The sequence below is a fragment of the Homo sapiens genome, chromosome 9 (assembly GCF_000001405.40).
Source record: "Homo sapiens chromosome 9, GRCh38.p14 Primary Assembly".
Taxonomy (NCBI): Eukaryota; Metazoa; Chordata; class Mammalia; order Primates; family Hominidae; genus Homo; species Homo sapiens.
Genome location: NC_000009.12, coordinates 116,527,742 through 116,548,845, shown reverse-complemented (window position 1 = coordinate 116,548,845; position 21,104 = coordinate 116,527,742). Strand labels below are relative to the sequence as shown.

The following is a 21,104-nucleotide window of genomic DNA, read 5'->3' as shown; positions in this document are numbered from 1 at the left end:
CCCTATACCAAGCCAGTTCAATGGTAATTTATGGGGATGGGGCACAGGTGTTCATTTTTAAAACCTTCCCCAGGCCGGGCACAGTGGCTAACACCTATAATCCCAGCACTTTGGGAGGCTGAGGCCGGTGGATCACCTGAGGTCAGGAGTTCGAGACCAACCTGGCCAACATGGTGAAACCCCATATCTACTAAAAGTACCAAAAATTAGCCGAGCATAGTGGGGGGCACCTGTAATCCCAGATACTCAGGAGGCTGAGACAGGAGAATCACTTGAACCCAGGAGGCAGAGGTTGCAATGAGCTGAGATCACGCCATGGCACTCCAGCCTGGGCAACAAGAGTGAAACTCAGTCTCAAAAAATCAAAACAACAACAACAAAACCCTCCCCCAGGTCATTCTCATATGCAGCCAGGGTAAAGAATTACTGACATAGAAGCAGCTGCCGTTTAGTAAAGGTAGAGAGACAGAGGCACTGAGGCCTGGAGCTGGTCAGGGTCATGTCCAGAGTCATGCTGTGAGTCAGTACAGACAGAACCAGAACCAAGCCTCCTGCCATCTCTGTCCCCTTGGCCTCGACTTTGAATCACCTTAAGCAAATGCCACGGCCTCTGATGGAGCCAGGCAGGAGGGCAGCCTCCTGACTGCCAGAGCCTGGCTTAGAGGCAAGGCCCAGACACAGCCCCATTAAGCCAGGCAGTGCCTTACGGGAATCGCTCCTGGCTCCGGCTTAGAAAACAGAGTGCTTTGGTTTTCTTTGGCTGCATCCTGGGGTGGGGGAGCTAAGAGGAGAGCACCTGAGGACGCAGGTTTGCTGCTTTTCTCCTAGGCAAAGTGGGGCTGCCAGAGGCAAGGAGTGGAGACAGGTGGGCAGGGTGTGTGGGGGTGAGTTGGGAGTGTATGCCTCCCGCAGCTGCTGCCTCAGACAGCCTGCCTGAGAATGCACCCCACGCAGAGGCTGATGCCTGGAGGGGAGGGAATGGGACACAGAACCTCAGCTTGGGGGGCAGCTCAGGTAAACCGGGCGCCTTGACCTGCCTGCAAATAGACCCTCTCAGGTGTATGTGAGCTCCAAGCCCTCCTCTCAGACACTGGTTATAGTGGAAAGAGACCTTGGTTGGGATCTTAGTTATAGCTGCTGTTTATTGAGAGATCTCCACCTACCAGGCACTGCGATAAGTTCTTTAACTTTCTGTATAACTGATACAGGTTCTTCACAGCTCTCTGGGGTAAAAATGATTGGTTTGCCCACTTCACAGATAAGGAAGTAGGATTGGAAAGATGAAGTCCACCACCGCAGGTACATAGCCCTGAAGGCACAGAGGAGATCAGAATCAAACTCAATTCAGCCTGATTCCAAAGTTCAGCCTCTTAGCCATTACACAACACTGTTTTTGTATGAATCAGCAGACCTGAGTTTGACTCTCCACTACTTTTATGTCAGGCCATGTGACTTTAGACAGTTTAATTGATCTCTCTGGACCTCAGTTTCCTCCTCTGTAAATTGATGCTTGTCTTGCCAATTTCACATGACTGGTGTGGGTATCAAATAAAAGTTGGACACGAAACAGGTTAGTAAACAACAGAGGGATATACAAATCTAAGAGATTATTGCTGTTATCACCAAACACAGCTGCATCCACACATGGGGAACCACCATCCCATATACATCTGTCCACCCTTGTGACCTTGGTCTTCTCTGGAAACCTCTTTGGTTCTTAAGTACTCAGGTGGAGGAGTGGAAGGGGAGGGAGAAAAAAATAAGAACCTGTTTATAAAACACTTCACATTTCCCAGATGAAAGCTGCTAGATAAATATCACACCACCACATAAATAAAACATAAATGAAATAATATTATTCCTACCCCCTCCAGCCGGCGTGCCTGCAGACACTCTCATAGAAGCTGCGGGCAGCTGGGTAAAGTACAAAGAGGGCTTTGGAGTCAGTGACAAGAGTTCAACGCCTGCTCCCTCAATGTATTGATTGCATGACCTGGGAGCTGGTTACTTGGACTCTCAGAGTCGCAGTTTTCTCATCAGAGAGTTGGAAATTTAGTAAAAAGTCTGTTACCTGGTTGCTATAATCATTAAACAAGCTCCTGTGCATATCTCTGGTATAGGACTCATGACCCTAGATGCTATTTACCTCTTTATATACTTGATTTCCCCATTCTATTATAATGTTCCAAGAGGCAATAGCTGTGTTGCATTTTGATATGATGGTACAGGTGTATGCTCCATAAATGCCAAGTCCCTTTCTTCTGCAGTTCTCTCAATGTCACTCCATCTTCACACTCCTAGGACAGAATTCAGACCCATGCCTATCTCTTAACTCAATACATTACTCAACTGGAACAGAAAGGGTAGAACTCATAGCCCCTGACTCACTAAGGTATCCAGGCTCTGCTACTTATCAGTTGTTCAACATTGGGCAAGTCAGCTTACATCTCTGAGACTCAGTTTCTCCATTTCTGAAATGGGGACAATGTCCCTCCTACCCTATCTAGATGCTTGCTGGGAGGGTTAAATATGATACTGGCAGTGTAAATGCTGTGAAAACCATAAGGAATGTCATCTGTAATGGGAACTCATTGTATACCAAACTGGTATATTGGATTTTCACGTCATTTCTATGAGGCTCTGAATACCCAACTTCTGCAGTCCTTTTGCCCCATCATCTAATACTCAGTATCTTCAGTTTTTACCTTTGGATCAGAAGACTCAGGTTGTCTCCTCCATCCCTGCTCTTCCCGAGGCACTCTCATCTTTATCTCCTCCCTGTCTTCTCCTATAACTGCAGTCAGGGAAGCTGCAACACTGTTCACTTGGAAGTCAGGAGACCAGAAGTGAAGTCTGGGCCTTGAGTCTGATATCCCACTCTGGAACTCAACTTCCTTTAGTGTAAAATGAAGAGTCCATATGACAATAATCATCAGTTCTCACATTGTTAGCACTTTTTTCCTTCATGATTTCACAGGGACTCAGAGAGATGCAAATGACTTTCCCAAGGCCACTCACCAACCAAGGTCTATTTAGATGCTAGAATTGTGTTTCATCTCTTCATCCTCAATGCCCAGCTCAGTGCCTGGCTTGTACCCTATATTCAGAAAATGTTTGTTGAATGAATTTTGACACTGAAAAAAATATGAATTTTCTTATTTTTTTTCTGCTAAAAATTGGTCATGAAAACATTGGATTTTAAGAAAGAATGGATTTGTTTCTAAAACTTCTTAAACTATTGCTTTCAAATAAGTTTTTCTGCAAGCTTAAGGAAACTGTGGTTAGACCTCAGGGGATGACAAGCTATACAATGAAATTGCTTAATGGAGTAGGGTGTGTAAGCCCCAATCTCGTCGGTTTCCCTGTGGGATATATGTGTAAGGTTTCTTGGAAAGGTGGATTCTACTGCTTTGAAAATGTTTGAAAAATGACTGCTTTAAGGAAATGAAAAAGAATTGAATATTCCCAAATGAAGCATTTTGTATAGAATGGTGGGTACATGTGGAGACTCCAATCCACAGTTCATTTTCCAATTTTGAGAACAACACATTTTAGGACCATGTGTAATTACAGAAAACCACTGGCACCCAGCCCCATCTAGGGGCTGAAACTCCAGGCCCTCTCAAACTCTATTTTCTTGAGGCAAGCCAATGGCCCCAGGCAGGCGGACCCCCATGCCAAGTCTGGCATCCCTGGCTCTGCATTGGCACATCTGGGCACTTGGACTGACTCTAGGCCAGCAGTTGCTGGTGCAGTCCAAGAACATCTCTGGGAAGCTGGCTGGGAAGCTGGAAGGAACTGTCCCAAGGCTGAGGAGGAGCCGGGCCTGTCCATGTTTTCTAAGGCATACAGGGGAGCAGGTAGCTGGGCCAGGAGCAGGCCATTGGCACTCTCACCAAGGGTCTTCTGGCTCAGATTCCAAAATGAGCTAGGCAGAATGTTTCTGCAGCTGGGAATAAGGGGGAATCCCTATGAGGCCTTTTTATGCTTCATGACTTTTTATGTCCTTAAAACAGCCACAAAAATCTCTCTCAGCTTCATCTTTGCCTTGTTTCCCACCGATTTGGCTTCTGAAAAACTGCTGTTGTGTTTGCTCCTGTGGTCTAGAGGCCTGGCCCCTAGCGCCTAATCCAAAGTGTGACCTTTGGTGTCAAAAGTATGAGGTCTGTATGTCCTTAACTTTGTTCCAGTGTAAACTTCTGATGCCCCCAAAGAACCAATCCATCAAATAACTCATGAATAAAAATATGTAACTGTCAGAAATGTGATGGAACTGTCAAAAGCACGTGACATCTACATAAATAGAAGAACCCAAATCATCCTTTCCTCTTTTTCTGGCATGGGGAAACATAGCAAATAACTGCTAAAAATTTTAAAGGAGCAAAGGTGGAGCATTTCAGGGAAAGACCTACTACTATCATGTCTAAGACACCTTGTGTTCTTTGTGAATGGTGATTTTCGATGCAAAACATCTTTTTTTGGTGAGGTGGAATGGAGGATGGGGACTGCTGTCACAAGATGAGTCACTTGATTAGACATGGAGGGTTTCTGGGTTGCTCCTATCTCCTCCCCCAAATATCTGGGGACACTCCATTTTTCATCCAAATACCTCATTTCTCCCCAGACACTGCATATTCCTTAGTATGACTGTCTCAGTGCAAATTTCAGGGCTGATTCATCATAGAATACTAGTATGTCAGCCACTAAGTGCCCTTGGAGAGTTTTGAGTGTAACCCCTGAATTTGCAGAGAAGGTCGTTTTGGCAGTCGATTCCCAAGTGTTTCTGCAGGGAATTTGGACATTGCTAACTCATTTTCTGTTCTCTGTGTTAGAACTAGACAATGTTATGTTCTAATAGGAGAAAAGACAGTGAAGGGTTTAGTCATCTACTCCCGGTCACATAGGCTTTGTGAGGGGCAGTAACGAATTCTGAACTTCACGTTCTCATCAGTGTTTGTCCACTGGGCCCTGTAGCTCAGCAGAAGATACCAACAGGAACCTCACAAGCGTCATCCTGATGTCACAAGTAGTTCTGGGGCCAGCGGGTTTGTCAGTGAGGTCCCAGCAAGGAGCTGAGAAGCATCTATCAGCTCCAAATTCACATGAGAGGAAAACAAAATTCCATCATAATGTTGACCATCTGTGGATGAGGACGACTTTTCAAAAGAGGCCACTGGAGAGAGGGACAAGGAAAATAAAGACTATTATCTTAAGGGATTATAATTTGAAAGGGATCACTGGTTCAACTGAACAACACAGGATATGGCACAGCAGTGAGTTATTTTACCTTGTGGAACTCCTGTTTTTTAATGAATGTTAAACTTTTTTTATGGCAATCTGTTGCAAAACTACTGTACACCATGATCAACAACAGTGTGTATTAGACTGACAATTTTTTTTTTTTTTTTGAGACAGGGTGTCACTCTGTTGCCCAGGCTAGAGTGCAGTGGTAAAATGATGGATCATTGCAGCCTCAGCCTCCCTAGGCTTGGGTGATCCTCCCACCTCAGCCTTCAGAATAGCTGGGACGGCAGTCACACGCCACCATGCCCAGCTAATTTTTTTTTTTTTGTAGTTTTCATACAGATAGGGTTTTGTTATGTTGCCCAGGCTGGTCTCAAACTCCTGAGCTCAAGCAATCAGACTGCCCTTATGCTATAATCTCTATACCTGTGATTATGAAGAACTCTCTTCATTTTCTTTCAATTTTTTCTATGCATGCAAAAACAACCAACCAACCAAAAAATGTGCCGGATGGTCTTTAGGGTGCTTATCTAGTAGAGGTTATAATCAATTTAAAAGAGAGTTCCAAAAATATTTCTGTCCAACAAGATACTATATGATTTTTTTTTCAGCTGGATGATTCCAAAGGTGAACATCAAGCTTATACCAAAAATAATAGTCTTTTGTTTTGTTTTGTTTTTTTGAGATAGAGTTTTGCTCTGTCACCCAGGCTGTAGTGCAGTGGCACAATCTCAGCTCACTGCAATCTCTGCCTCCCAGGCTGAAGCAATCCTCCTGCCTCAGCCCCTCAAGTAGCTGGGAGGATTACAGGCACCTGCCACCATGCCCAGCTACTTTTTGTATTTTTGGAAGGGCTTCTCCATGTTGCCCAGGCTGGTCTTGAACTCCTGAGCTCAGGTGATCAGCCCACTTCAGCCTCCAGAAGTGCTGGGATTACAGGTATGAGCCACCACACCCAGCCAAAAATAATAGTCTTAAAACAACATTTTGATGGATGGGACTGATGATTCTCTTTTGTAACTCCAAAATGTAATCTATTTTTTTCCCAGAATATATATAACTTGGCTTTGTTCAGGTTTTTCTAAGTTGTTTTTAAAGTTAACATTGAATTTATATTTTTTTCTAATACCCTTGCAATGATCTTTGACCAAAAGTAATAAACATATTAACTTGAACTGATCTGATTTTAAAACAACTTGCTCAATTGAAGTGGCAGAATTTATTAGGCACCCTTGTAAATGATGGATCTCAGAAGATCTTATAAACCACTAAAAGTTTATGTTACCTTTTTATTTCATTAAAAATATTTTGTTGGTGCTAATGTAAATTTGTCAAACTTTCTTGAAGGCAAATTAGCAATATGTATCAAGAGAATTTGCTTATTCTAAGAAAAGTTATTTATAAAAGATTTACATGTAAGGGTGTTTATTAGGGTTCAGTTAAATAATGTTTAATAAAAAGGAAATAAAAGACAGTCATTTAAATATTACTATTGCAGAAAACATTTTACAAAATAGTATGTGGAGCAGGAGCAAGAGGAAAGTAGTGTGACTATAAAAAAAATCATGAGAAATAATTGTGGTAATGAAAATGTTCTGTTTCTTGACTGTGTCGATACCAGTATCCTGGCTGTGATATTGAATTATAGGTTTGCAAGATGTTACCACAGGAGAAAACTGGGTAAAGAGTACACAAGGTCTCTCTCTATTATTTCTTATAACTGCATATGAATCTACAATTATCTTAAAATTTAAAAATTTAATTTAAAATGGTATATAATTAAAGCACTTCTGGTTTTAGGGATGTGGATGTCTTTATTGAGAGCTGAAGGGGAAATCTTATAAATCAAGAAGACACAGAATCTGAGAAGTTATTAGACACCACATGTGCTATTCTCTCAGTCTTTGGAGGGCCCATCAGCTCTTGCCTTGTTCTGTCTCTGCTTCCATCTGCCCATGGTTAGAGTCACTTCCCCAATCTGGTGCAGTGTTTCATCCACTGCCTATCTTCCTGGTACCTTAGTACTATCAGCTGTAATTCCTGGGCAATAAATGTGAGTGGATCACCTTGGGTTAAGTTTTTACTCTCAGTCCAATTAACTATGATTAAAGCAATAGAGTTAACTAGGAAAACCATGGCAACAAGGGCCCAGTGTTCCATGTGTTGGGGCCTGCTCTCATTATAGGTTGGGTAGAACTTGCAGTGGCTCATAAGATTATAGACCCTTTCTCACTCTCTGTATTGTCCATCTGTTCAAGAAAAAATGACTATAAGAGTATATACCAAAATGTTATATTATCAGTTATTTTCTTTGTGTTAGATCTGGCAGATTTATATTTTCTCTTTCCCGCCTAAATTTCCTACTATGATCACATTTTATTTTCTGTTATAAGAAAAATGTTTAAAATTGTGTAAAATTAATTTTATGATAGAAAAGAGTATGACACATTTATTATAGAATGGGAATGCAGAAACATGAGTAAGTTACAACTATACCAGCCTAATAATATCATAATTTTGGCATATTTCTTTCCTCAATGTCCATTCCTTATATAGTGGAGAATGTCATGTATATTTTTTTCTGCTTTTTTTTTTCATTAGATGTGGCATTCAAACTTTTTCCCCTAGTTTCAAAACTAGGGGAAAAACTTTTGTAAAAATTTTCATGTTCATATACTGTTTCATAATATGGGTATCTCAAATATTATTAATCATTTATTTAGTGCTGGACATTTAGGCATTTCCAATTTCTCAATTATTTTGGAGACTGCAAGATAAAAATGGGTGCTTGCATTTTAGACAAAAATAATCTCTTATGAAGACCAGCAACTAAAAAGGAATTTTAAAATCCACTAAATTCACCTGTTGGATGGAACTTAGCAGCAGCCATTCTCTTCTATTGTGCTCCTTTCCTTTTGGAAAGTCCTGTCCCTGGGTAAGCTCTCTTTGAGATTAGTGGCTTTAGATGGCCTGCTTGGTGCCCTGCACACAGACGATCATGAAGGCACCTACAGGTGGGACGATTGCTCGCCAAGGAGAATTCATCCAGAGGCCAAAGCTGTCACCCAAGCAGTTGTCTGCCGTGGTGAACACATTTTGACCACAGGCCCGAAGTTTCCTCTCTTCACGTGTTATTCCATGCATCTTCACGTCTCTGGGGATCTGAGATTCAGAGAGGATTAAGAAGTGAAACTCTACATATAATTAGAGGGAAAACTGCAAGAAATCATTTTACCTCTTTCTTCTTGCATGTTTCTTTCAGTAAAAGATAAATTTAGATGGGTATGATTTTTTTTCTCTTTTCCTTATGTTTTAAGCCTGTGATCTGATGCAGGATCTAATAATAAATGATAAATTTCCCACCAGACATGAATAAAAATTTGAATTAGAACTAGAATATCTCAGAGCCAAGAGGATCCATAGAAATAGACCCAATATAGAGACATGAAATCTTAGGAATGGAGAAGGTAAAGAATACAGCCAGTATTTTACAGCTAGCCATTGGCTGGAAAAGCAGTCTCATGTAGCTGAGTCACATGCTATATTTTATCACATCAAGATGCGATTCATTTTAAGAGACACTTTATTTTATGTGCCATTTATAAAGCAAAGAAAATGATGCCAACTGAACTATAACCCAATGGTTTCTTATCAATTATATTTTTGGAGCTCATTGAAAGGGCTCATTTATTCTGATTATATTTTTATAATACAGTAGTCTCCACTTATCCATGGTTTTGTCTTCTCCAGTTTCAGTCACCTGTAATCAGCTAAAGTCCAAAAATATTAAATAGAAAATTCCAGAAGTAAACAATTCATAAGTTGTAAATCCACGCCATTCTGAGCAGTGTGATGAAATCTTGCACCATCCCACCCAGGGTGTGAAGCATTCCTTTGTCCAGCGTATACACCCGTTAGTCACTCAGTAGCCGTCCAGGTTATTAGATTGAAAACCATAGTATATATAGGGTTGGTACCATCTGTGGTTTCAGACGTCCACTGGGGTCTTAAAACATATCCTCCCTGGAAAGTGGGGACTACTGTGCATCGTTCTTGTGCTATAAACAAAATAAGTGTTCAAATGTTCATAAAACTTTGCATTCAGTGTCTGCCTTTTCTAAACCACTTTTTGACTCAGTCTTTAAATTTTTTTTCCATATACTATTGTCCTCTCTGCCAGCCAGACAGTTAGTAATGTTACATTTCTTTTTTTTTTCCCTCCCTCATAGATTTTTTTAATAGCTTCATTGCAATATAATTTACATACCATACAACTTCACCCATTGAAAGTGTACAATTTGATAGCACATTGACAGAGTTGTGCGATTATCACCACGGTCAATTTTAGGACATTTTCAACACCCCAAAATAAACCCTATACCCATTAGCAGTCACTCCTTACTTTCCCCTTATTTCCTCAACCCTATGCAACCACTAACCTACCTTCTGTCTTTGTTGATTTGCCTACTCTGAACATTTCATATAAATGGAATCATGCCACATCTGCTTTTTTCTGTGACTTGCTTCTTCACTTAGTTCTCAAGGTTCGTCCATGTCGTAGCATGTACCAGTATGTTGTTCATTTTTATTGCTGTTTTTCTTAAAAGAAGACTCCATTATTATTTCTGGTGTTTTCTTTCAAGTTTTAATGAATGATGCTGCTTTCTTTATCTTACTAGTTCTTGTCAATGAAGTTTGTTAGACAACTGTCAGGATCCATTTTCTTTCCAAAATTAATTCTTAAGGAGTTTGGCCTGAAATGTTAAGGATTGTACTTATCTAGGTGGACCACCAGGAATGACAGCCAGATTCACATAAGCACAGGTGATGATATTTGCTGCCTGGTTGATGGAAACTGTATGGCATCATCACTTGTAGGATGCATCTCAATTTCAGACATATTCAAAGGCAAAAATTGTGCATTTTAGAATTAACAAAGCATGGAATATAATTTTAAGTACTTTTCCTTAGATCAACATGAAGAATTTTCACTCTGAGATCCAACAGGCAAGAGACTTAGGACACAAAACCTTAAAACTTGAGTGAATTTAGAATTCACAAGTCGAACACCACAACTAGAGCAAGAGTCCCCTTCAGCTCTGTGGTTCTCTGCCCTTGGGTATGAGAATCACCTGAAGAAAGTTTTTAAAATACAAAGTCATGGGCCACACATCCCTGAAGATTTATTTTCAGTAGTGCTAGTGTAGAACCCCAAATTTCTTTCTTTTCCTTCCTTGTTTCCTTCCTTCCTTTCTTCCTCGCTTCTTTCCTTGCTTCCTCCCTCCCTTTCTTCCTCATTCCCTTCCTTCATTCCTCCGTTTGCTCCTTTCTTCCTTTCTTTCTGTCTTTTTCATTCTTTCTTTTTCTCCCTCTCAGTCCCTTCTTCCCTCTTTCCCTTCCTCCATCCCTTCCTCCCTCCCTTTCTTCTTTCCTTTATTTCTAATCCAGGAATGGGGACCATAGCTCTTATTCATTCCTATCAGATGAGCTACAGGCAGCCTAAGCATCAACTAGGAGGCATTGTTGTATAGTGGGTTCAACACTTAATTTGGATTCATACAGATCTTGTTTCAAATTTTGATATGGACACTGATAAGCAGTATGACCTTAGGCAAATTATTAAGCCTCTCTGAGCCTCCATCCCATTCTCTGTAAAACTGGAGTATCCTGGAAGGTTTGTTGTGATAACTATGTAAAAGAACACACTAGAGTGCCTTGTATTTACAAATGGTACTCTCCTAATCCCTGCTTTCATGGCTCAGATCTTACTCTCTGGTTTGAATCACTACCATTACTCTTAGTACCTATCTCTAGAGGTTTGATTTTTTGATTCTATGTTAGTATCCTGTTCCCACAGGGCATCTGCCTCAGCTCTTCTGATTCTATGATAGTCAGTGGAGTTCTCTGATTTTACCAATTTGCAGTGAATGGTCTTTCCAAATCCTGGATCATACATAAAATTTTCTCTAAGAGATACTCTTAGGTTTTCTGGCTTTAAAATCTCAAGAGCAGTTAGCTTTCACCAAATTTTAATTATTCACCTTCCAGGGCTTCACTGTATGTTTACAGTTCCCAGGGTTCCTACCACATGTATACATTACACATCATTACACATATCACTGTGTCTCATATAATGTCCATAGGTTCAAGAAGGAGGTAAAATCTGTAATTGTCAGAAATAAACTGTCAAATGAATGTGAAGTTATCAATGTAAATTGTGAAACCAAAGTTGCATTTCTGTTTGTACCACCATTATGTAAACATGAATAAATTTTGGAGAACAACAAGGCCAAGTAAAAGAAAAAAATTATAGAAATTTGGGTTCCAAGATGGCCAAATAGGAACAGCTCCAGTCTACAGCTCCCAGTGTGAGCGACACAGAAGATGGGTAATTTCTGCATTTCCAACTGAGCAAACGGCACACCAGGAGATTATATCCCGCACGTGGCTCGGAGGGTCTCATGCCCATGGAGCCTCACTCATTGCTAGCACAGCAGTCTGAGATCGAACTGCAAGGCAGCAGCAAGGCTGGGGGAGGGGCGCCCACCATTGCTGAGGCTTGAGTAGGTAAACAAAGTGGCCAGGAAGCTCAAAAGGGGTGGAGCCCACCACAGCTCAAGGAGGCCTGCCTGCCTCTGTAGACTCCACCTCTGGGGGCAGGGCATAGCCTAATAAAAGGCAGCAGAAACCTCTGTAGACTTAAATGTCCCTGTCTGACAGCTTTGAAGAGAGTAGTGGTTCTCCCAGCATGGAGTTTGAGATCTGAGAACAGACAGACTGCCTCCTCAAGTGGGTCCCTGACCCCTGAGAAGCCTAACTGGGAGGCACCCCCTAGTAGGGGCAGACTGACACCTCACACAGCTGGGTAACTCTCTGAGACGAAAATTCCAGAGGAACGATCAGGCCGCAACATTTGCTGTTCAGCAATATTCGATGTTCTGCAGCCTCCGCTGCTGATACCCAGGCAAACAGGGTCTGGAGTGGACCTCCAGCAAACTCCAACAGACCTGCAGCTGAGGGTCCTGACTGTTAGAAGGAAAACTAACAAACAGAAAGGACATCCACACCAAAACCCCATCTGTACGTCACCATCATCAAAGACCAAAGGTAGATAAAACCACAAAGATGGGGAAAAAGCAGAGCAGAAAAGCTGAAAATTCTAAAAATCAGAGCACCTCTCCACCTCCAAAGGAACGCAGCTCCTCACCAGCAACAGAACAAAGCTGGACGGAGAAAGACTTTGAGGAGTTGAGAGAAGAAGGCTTCAGAAGACCAAACTTCTCCGAGCTAAAGGAGGAAGTTTGAACCCATCGCAAAGAAGATAAAAACCTTGAAAAAAGATTAGAAGAATGGCTAACTAGAATAACCAATGCAGAGAAGTCCTTAAATGACCTGATGGAGCTGAAAACCATGGCACGATAACTACGTGACGAATGCACAAGCTTCAGTAGCCGATTTGATCAGCTGGAAGAAAGGGTATCAGTGATTGAAGATCAAATGAATGAAATGAAGCAAGAAGAGAAGTTTAGAGAAAAGAGAATAAAAAGAAACAAACAAAGCCTCCAAGAAATATGGGACTATGTGAACAGACCAAACCTACATCTGATTGGTGTACCTGAAAGTGACGGGGAGAATGGAACCAAGTTGGAAAACACTCTGCAGGATGTTATCCAGGAGAACTTCTCCAACCTAGCAAGGCAGGCCAACATTCAAATTCAGGAAATACAGAGAAAGCCACAAAGATAATCCTCAAGAAGAACAACTCCAAGACACATAATTATCAGATTCACCAAAGTTGAAATGAAGGAAAAAATGTTAAGGGCAGCCAGAGAGAAAGGTCGGGTTACCAACAAAGGGAAGCCCATCAGATTAACAGCTGATCTCTCAGCAGAAACTCTACAAGCCGAAGAGAGTGGAGGCTAATATTCAACATTCTTAAATAAAAGAATTTTCCACCCAGAATTTCATATCCAGCGAAACTAAGCTTCATAAATGAAGGAGAGATAAAAATCCTTTATAGACAAGCAAATGCTAAGGGATTTTGTCACCACCAGGCCTGCCCTACAAGAGCTCCTGAAGGAAGAACTAAACATGGAAAGGAACAACCGGTACCAGCAAAAACACGCCAAATTGCAAAGACCATCGATGCTAGGAGGAAACTGCATCAACTAACAAACAAAATAACCAGCTAACATCATAATGACAGGATCAAACTCACATATAACAATATTAACCTTAAATGTAAATGGGCTAAATGCTCCAATTAAAAGACACAGATTGGCAAATTGGACAAAGAGTCAAGACCCATCAGTGTGCTGTATTCAGGATATCCATCTCATGTGCAGAGACACACATAGGCTCAAAATAAAGGGATGGAGGAAGATCTACCAAGCAAAAGGAAAATACAAAAAGGCAGAGGTTGCAATCCTAGACTCTGATAAAACAGACTTTAAACCAATAAAGATCAAAAGAGACAAAGAAGGCCATTACATAATGGTAAAGGGACCAATTCAACAAGAAGAGCTAACTATCCTAAATATACATGCACCCAATACAGGAGCACCCAGATTCATAAAGCAAGTCCTTAGAGACCTACAAAGAGACTTAGGCTCCCACACAATAAAAATGGGAGACTTTAACACCCCACTGTCAACATTAGACAGATCAATGAGACAGAAAGTTAACAAGGGTATCTAGGAATTAAACTCAGTTCTGCACCAAGTGGACCTAATAGACATCTACAAAACTCTCCACCCCAAGTCAACAGAATATACATTCTTCTCAGCACCACATCGCACTTATTCCAAAATTGACCACATAGTTGGAAGTAAAGCACTCCTCAGCAAATGTAAAAGAACAGGAATTAAAACAAACTGTCTCTCAGAACACAGTGCAATCAAACTAGACCTCAGGATTAAGAAACTCACTCAAAACCACTCAACTACATGGAAACTGAACAACCTGTTCCTGAATGACTACTGGGTACATAACGAAATGAAGGCAGAAATAAAGATGTTCTTTGAAATCAAAGAGAACAAAGTCATAACATACAAGAATCTCTGGGACACATTTAAAGCAGTGTGTGAGGGAGATTTATAGCACTAAATGCCCACAAGAGAAAGCAGGAAAGATCTAAAATTGACACCCTAACATCATAATTAAAAGAACTAGAGAAGCAAGAGCAAACACATTCAAAAACTAGCAGAAGGCAAGAAATAACTAAGATCAGAGCAGAACTGAAGGAAATAGAGACACAAAAAACCATTCGAAAAATCAATGAATCCAGGAGCTGGTTTTTTGAAAAGATCAACAAAATTGATAGACCACTAGCAAGACTCATAAAGAAGAAAAGAGAGAAGAATCTAATAGACGCAATAAAAAATGATAAAGGGGATATCACCACCTATCCCACAGAAATACAAACTACCATCAGAGAATACTAGAGACAACTCTACACAGATAAGCTAGAAAATCTAGAAAAAATGGATAAATTCCTGGACACATCCACCCTCCCAAGACTAAACCAGGAAGAAGTTGAATCCCTGAATAGACCAATAACAGGCTCTGAAACTGAGGCAATAATTTAAAGCCTACCAACCAAAAAAATTCCAGGACCAGATGGATTCACAGCCAAATTCTACCAGAGGTACAAGGAGGAGCTTGTGCCATTCCTTCTGAAACTATTCCAATCAGTAGGAAAAGAGGGACTCCTCCCTAACTCATTTTATGAGGCCAGCATCATCCTGATACCAAAGCCTGGCAGAGACACAACAAAAAAAGAGAATTTTAGACCAATATCCCTGATGAACATCGATGCAAAAATCTTCAATAAAATACTGGCAAACCGAATCCAGCAGCACATCAAAAAGCTTATCCACCATGATCAAGTGGGCTTCATCCCTGGGATGCAAGGCTGGTTCAACATATGCAAATCAATAAACATAATCCAGCATATGAACAGAACCAATGACAAAAATCACATGATTATCTCAATAGATGCAGAAAAGCCATTTGACAAAATTCAACAGCGCTTCATGCTAAAAAATCTCAGTAAATTAGGTGTTGATGGGACATTTCTGAAAATAATAAGAGCTATTTATGACAAACCCACAGCCAATATCATACTGAACAGACAAAAACTGGAAGCATTCCCTTTGAAAACTGGCACAAGACAGGGATACCCTCTCTCACCACTCCTATTCAACATAGCGTTGGGAGTTCTGGCCAGGGCAATCAGGCAGGAGAAAGAAATAAAGGGTATTCAATTAGGAAAAGAGGAAGTCAAATTGTCCCTGTTTGCAGATGACATGATTGTATATTTAGAAAACCCCATTGTCTCAGCCCAAAATCCCCTTAAGCTGATAAGCAACTTCAGCAAAGTCTCAGGATACAAAATCAATGTGCAAAAATCACAAGCATTCTTATACACCAATAACAGACAAACAGAGAGCCAAATCATAAGTGAACTCCCATTCACAATTGCTTCAAAAAGAATAAAATACCTAGGAATCCAACTTACAAGGGATGTGAAGGAACTCTTCAAGGATAACTACAAACCACTGCTCAATGAGATAAAAGAGGACACAAACAAATGGAAGAACATTCCATGCTCATGGATAGGAAGAATCAATATTGCAAAATGGCCATACTGCCCAAGGTAATTTATAGATTCAGTGCCATCCCCAGCAAGCTACCAATGACTTTCTTCACAGAATTGGAAAAACTACTTTAAAGTTCATGTGGAAACAAAAAAGAGTCCGAATTGCCAAGACAACCTGAAGCAAAAAGAACAAAGCTGGAGGCATCACACTACCTGACTTCAAACTATACTACAAGGCTATAGTAACCAAAACAGCATAGTACTGGTACCAAAACAGAGATATAGACCAATGGAACAGAACAGAGCCCTCAGAAATAATACCACACATCTACAACTATCTGATCTTTGACAAACCTGACAAAAACAAGAAATGGGGAAAGGATTCCTTATTTAACAAATGGTGCTGGGAAAACTGGCTAGCCATATGTAGAAAGCTGAAACTGGATCCCTTCCTTACACCTTATACAAAAATTAATTCAAGGTGGATTGAAGACTTAAATATTAGACCTAAAACCATAAAAACCCTAGAAGAAATCCTAGGCAATACCATTCAGGACATAGGCATGGGCAAGGACCTCATATCTAAAACACCAAAAACAGTGGCAACAAAAGCCAAAGTTGACAAATGGGATCTAATTAAACCAAAGAGCTTCTGCACAGCAAAAGGAAATACCATCAGAGTGAACAAGCAACCTACAGAATGGGAGAAAATTTTTGCAATCTACTCATCTGACAAAGGGCTAATATCCAGAATCTACAAAGAACTCAAACAAATTTACAAGAAAAAAACAACCCATCAGCAAGTGGGCAAAGGATGTGAACAGACACTTCTCAAAAGAAGACATTTATGCAGCCAAAAGACACATGCAAAAATGCTCATCATCACTGGCCATCAGAGAAATGCAAATCAAAACTACAATGCGATACCATCTCACACCAGTTAGAATGGCAATCATTGAAAAGTCAGGAAACAACAGGTGCTGGAGAGGATGTGGAGAAATAGGAACACTTTTACACTGTTGGTGGGACAGTAAACTAGTTGAACCATTGTGGAAGACAGTGTGGTGATTCCTCAAGGATCTAGAACTAGAAATACCATTTGACCCAGCCATCCCATTACTGGGTATATACCCAAAGGATTATAAGTCATGCTGCTATAAAGACACATGCACACGTATGTTTTCTGCGGCACTATTTACAATAGCAAAGACTTGGAACCAACCCAAATGTCCATCAGTGATAGATTGGATTAAGAAAATGTGGCACATATACACCATGGAATACTATGTAGCCATAAAAAAGGATGAGTTCATGTCCTTTGTAGGAACGTGGATGAAGCTGGAAACCATCATTCTCAGCAAACTATCACAAGGACAAAAAACCAACCACCACATGTTCTCACTCATAGATGGGAATTGAACAATGAGAACACTTGGACACAGGAAGGGGAATATCAAACACCGGGGCCTGTCGTGGGGTGGGGGGAGGGGGAGTGGTAGCATTAGGAGATATACCTAATATAAATGACGAGTTAATGGGTGCAACACACCGACATGGCACACGTATACATATGTAACAAACCTGCACGTTGTGCATATGTACCCTAGAACTTAAAGTATAATAAAAAAATTGTAAACATCAGTAAGCAGAGGGCCTCTGTATCATATGTCAAAAGAACTTTAGAATTGTGATTATGCCCTATTGCCATATTTGAGTACCATGGCCATACATTTAAGACATAAATACGAATGAAAGGTGGTTCCATTTTGGAGATTATAGCCTAGTAGGCCAGAAGACAAGAACATGGACAAACACAACACAGATGATAAGTGTTTCCATCGACAGAGAGTGGAAGAGAAAATGAGAACACAGACTATGCCCCTAACTCAGACTAATGGATGAGATGGGGCCAAGAACGTGTCTCAGCTTACATTAATACATAGTAATTGAATAAAATGCTACACTTTGTCTTTAAATTCCATCAGGGATTAATTTTCTGTTTTTTAATAACTTAAAATATCTGTGTATTCATTTATTTAATAAATATGTATTTAGTGCCAGTTGCATGTCATGCTCTGTCCTAGGTGCTGAGTATTCAAGGAATAAAAAGAGAAATGGTCCCCGCTATTGGGGGATTATCAAATGAAGCTGACAGATATTGACTTAACAGACATATGTAGGCAATTCAAATCATGAGAGGTGCTATGAATGGAAGATAGGTGTTATAAAAAGGAATATCAGGAGAACTCTAATTTAGTTGAGAGGAAAAGGTTATTCTCATATTGAAGAGTCTTCTGGCCTATTTCTTGACTCCTGTTTGGCTCATTCATTTTATCATTTATTCATTAATTCATCAGATATTTTCTTGTTTTAGTTACTTATTTTTCTGATAAGTAGAAATTATATATATTTATGGTATACAGCATGATATTTGATATATGTATAAATTGTAGAATGGCTAAGATCAAACTATTTCAGATATGCATTACCTCACATACTAATTTTTCATAATGAGAACACACAATTTATTCTCTTTTCAATTTTCAAGCATACAATATATTATTAAGTATAGTCACCATGATGTACAATAGGTCTCTTAAATTTATTCTTCCTAACTAAAATTTTGTGTCCTTTGACCAACATTTCCTGAGTACCCAAAGTGGTAACATGTAGTAACCATGATTTTACTCTCTATTAGTTTGACTATTTTAGATTTCATTTGTAAGTGAGATCGTATGGTATTTGTCTTTCAGTACCTAGCTTATTTCACTTAACATAATGTCCTCTAGGTCCATCCATATAGCAAATGAGAGGATTTTCTTCTTTTTAAGGATTAATAATATTCTATTTTATATATATATATATATATATATATATATATATATATATATATATATATATATATATCACACTTTATCCATTCATCCACTGATGAATACTCAGGTTGATTCCATATCTTGGCTATTGTTACTAATGCTGCAATGAACATGGAAGTGCAGATATCCCCTTGACGTACTGATTTCATATCTTTTGAATATATACTGTATTAGTCTGTTTACACACTGCTATAAAGAACTACCTGAGACTGGGTGATTTATAAACAAAAGAGGTTTAATTTACTCACAGTTCCCCATGGCTGGGAAGGCCTCAGGAAACTTACAAACATGGTGGAAGTTGAAGGGGAAGCAGGACATGTCTTACATGGTGGCAGGAAAGAGAGTGAGGAGGGAAGTGCCACACTTTTAAACGATAAGATCTCATGAGAACTCACTCACTATCATGAGAACAGCATAGGGGAGACTGCCCTCATGACCCAATCACCTCCCACCAGGCCCCTCCCCTGACACGTGGGGATTACAACTCTAGATGAGATTTGAGTGGGGATACAGCAAAACCATATCATTTTGCCCCTGGCCCCTCCCAAATCTCATGTCCTTCTCACATTTCAAAATGCAATTGTGCCTTCACAACATTCCAGCATTAACCCCAAATTCCAAGTCCAAAGTCTCATCTGAGACAAAGAAAGTCCCTTCTGCCTATGAGCCTGTAAAATCAAAAGCAAGTTAGTTACTTCTAAGATACAATGGGGATACAGGCATTGGGTAAATGCCCTCATTACAAATGGGAGAAATTGGCCAAAACAAAGGGGCTACAGGTCACATGCATGTCCGAAACCCAACAGGACAGTCATTAAATCTTAAAGGTCCAAAATAATCTCTCCTTTGACTCCATGTCTCACACCCAGGGCACAGTGATGCAAAAGGTGGGCTCCCAAGGCCTCGGGTACTCCATCCCTGTGGCTCTGCAGGGTAAGCCCCCATGGCTACTTTCACAGGCTGATGTTGAGTGCTTGCAGCTTTTCTAGGTGCATGATGCAAGCTGTTGATGGATTTACTATTCTGGGGTCTGGAGGATGGTGGCTCTCTTCTCACAGCTCAACTAGGCAGTGAGCCAGTGGTGACACTGTGTAAGGGCTCCAACCCCACATTTCCCCTCTGCATTGCCTTAGTAGAGGTTCTCCATGAGGGCTCTTCCCCTGCAGCAGACTTCTGCCTAGACATTCAGGCATTTCCATACATCCTCTGAAGTCTAGGCAGAAGCTCACAAACCTCAACTCTTGTCTTCTGCACATCCACAGGCCCAACATCATGTGGAAGCCACCAAGACGTGGGGCTTGCACCCTCTGAAGTGACAGCCTAAGCTATACCTTGGCCCCTTTTAGCCATGACTGGAGCTGGAACGTCTGGAATGCAGGGTGCCATGTCCCAAGGCTGCATAGAGCAGCAGCCATGAAAACCATTATTGCCTCCTAGGCCTCCAGGCTTGTGATGAGAGGGGCTGCTGTGAAAATTTCTGAAATGCCCTGAATATATTTTCCCCATTGTCTTGGCTATTAACATTTGGTTTCTCTTTACTTATGCAATTTTTTTGCAGCTGATGGCTTGAATTTCTCTGCAAAAAATGGGTTTTTCTTTTCTACCACATGGGCAGTCTGCAAATTTTCCAAACTTTTATGCTTTGCTTCTCTTTTAAACATAAGTTCCAATTTCAGACCAACTCTTTGTGAACACATATGACTGTACACTTTCAAAAAAAGTCAGGTCATTTCTTGAATGCTTTGCTGCTTAGAAATTTTTTCTGCCAGATAACCTAAATCATCCTCTCAATTTCAGAGTTCCACAGATCTCTAGGGCAGGGGAAAAATGCCTCCAGTCTCTTTGCTAAAGCATACCAAGAGTGACCTTTGCTCCAGTTCCCAATAAGTTTCTCATCTCCATCTGAGACCACCTCAACCTGGACTTCCTTGTCCATCAGCATTTCAGTCAAAACCATTCAACAGGTCTCTAGGAAGTTCCAAACTTTTCCAATTCTTTCTGCCTTCTTCTGAGCCCTCAAAACTGTTCCAACTTCTGCCTGTTACCCCCTTCCAAAGTTGCTTCCATGTTTTCAGGTATCTTTGTAGCAGTGCCTCACTTCTGGTACCAATTTTCTGTATTAGTTGTTTTCACACTGCTATAAAGAACTACCTAAGATTGGGTACTTTATAAAGAAAAGAGGTTTGACTCACAGTTCTATGTGGCTTGGGAGGCCTCAGGAAGCTTACAGTAGTGGTGGAAGGTGTAGGAGAAGCAAGGCACATCTTACATGGTGGTAGGAAAGGGAGAGTGAGGGGGGTGGGAAGTGCCACACTTTTAAACCATCAGATCTGATGAGAATTCACTATCATGAGAACAGCATGGGGGTGACCACCCATATGACC

General features: G+C 40.6%; 1 protein-coding gene and 1 long non-coding RNA gene across 8 annotated transcripts in view, besides 3 other annotated features; one reads left to right on the top strand and one right to left on the bottom strand.

Moving 5' to 3' along the window:
• Nucleotides 1-21,104, top strand: part of ASTN2 (astrotactin 2) — a 991,946-nt gene that overhangs the window by 866,212 nt on the left and 104,630 nt on the right. The window lies entirely within an intron of this gene.
• ASTN2-AS1 (ASTN2 antisense RNA 1) overlaps nt 1-21,104 on the bottom strand; it is a 58,011-nt gene that overhangs the window by 13,448 nt on the left and 23,459 nt on the right. Inside the window, exons 2-8 of the long non-coding RNA NR_033973.1 lie at nt 8,107-8,406; nt 5,005-5,173; nt 3,019-3,097; nt 2,706-2,894; nt 2,147-2,297; nt 1,412-1,532; nt 1,164-1,309 (exon numbers count right to left, since the gene is read on the bottom strand). This is a non-coding gene — a long non-coding RNA (ASTN2 antisense RNA 1). The remainder of the gene's footprint in view (nt 1-1,163; nt 1,310-1,411; nt 1,533-2,146; nt 2,298-2,705; nt 2,895-3,018; nt 3,098-5,004; nt 5,174-8,106; nt 8,407-21,104) is intronic.
• Nucleotides 942-1,111: an enhancer, noted in NCBI's record as "experimental_106457 CRE fragment used in MPRA reporter constructs". NCBI's record gives its function as "activates a minimal promoter by MPRAs in K562 erythroleukemia cells, with activity observed for both the introgressed and non-introgressed 9:119310099 variant alleles {active_cell/tissue: K562}" and the evidence as "EXISTENCE:reporter gene assay evidence [ECO:0000049][PMID:34662402]".
• Nucleotides 1,222-1,516: an enhancer, noted in NCBI's record as "tiled region #10185; HepG2 Activating DNase matched - State 5:Enh". NCBI's record gives its function as "activates a minimal TATA promoter and a strong SV40 promoter by Sharpr-MPRA in HepG2 cells {active_cell/tissue: HepG2}" and the evidence as "EXISTENCE:reporter gene assay evidence [ECO:0000049][PMID:27701403]".
• Nucleotides 8,142-9,341: an enhancer, noted in NCBI's record as "MED14-independent group 3 enhancer chr9:119301784-119302983 (GRCh37/hg19 assembly coordinates)". NCBI's record gives its function as "activates an origin of replication core promoter dependent on BRD2, BRD4, P300/CBP and CDK7 cofactors, and independent of MED14, by STARR-seq in HCT116 cells {active_cell/tissue: HCT116}" and the evidence as "EXISTENCE:reporter gene assay evidence [ECO:0000049][PMID:35650434]".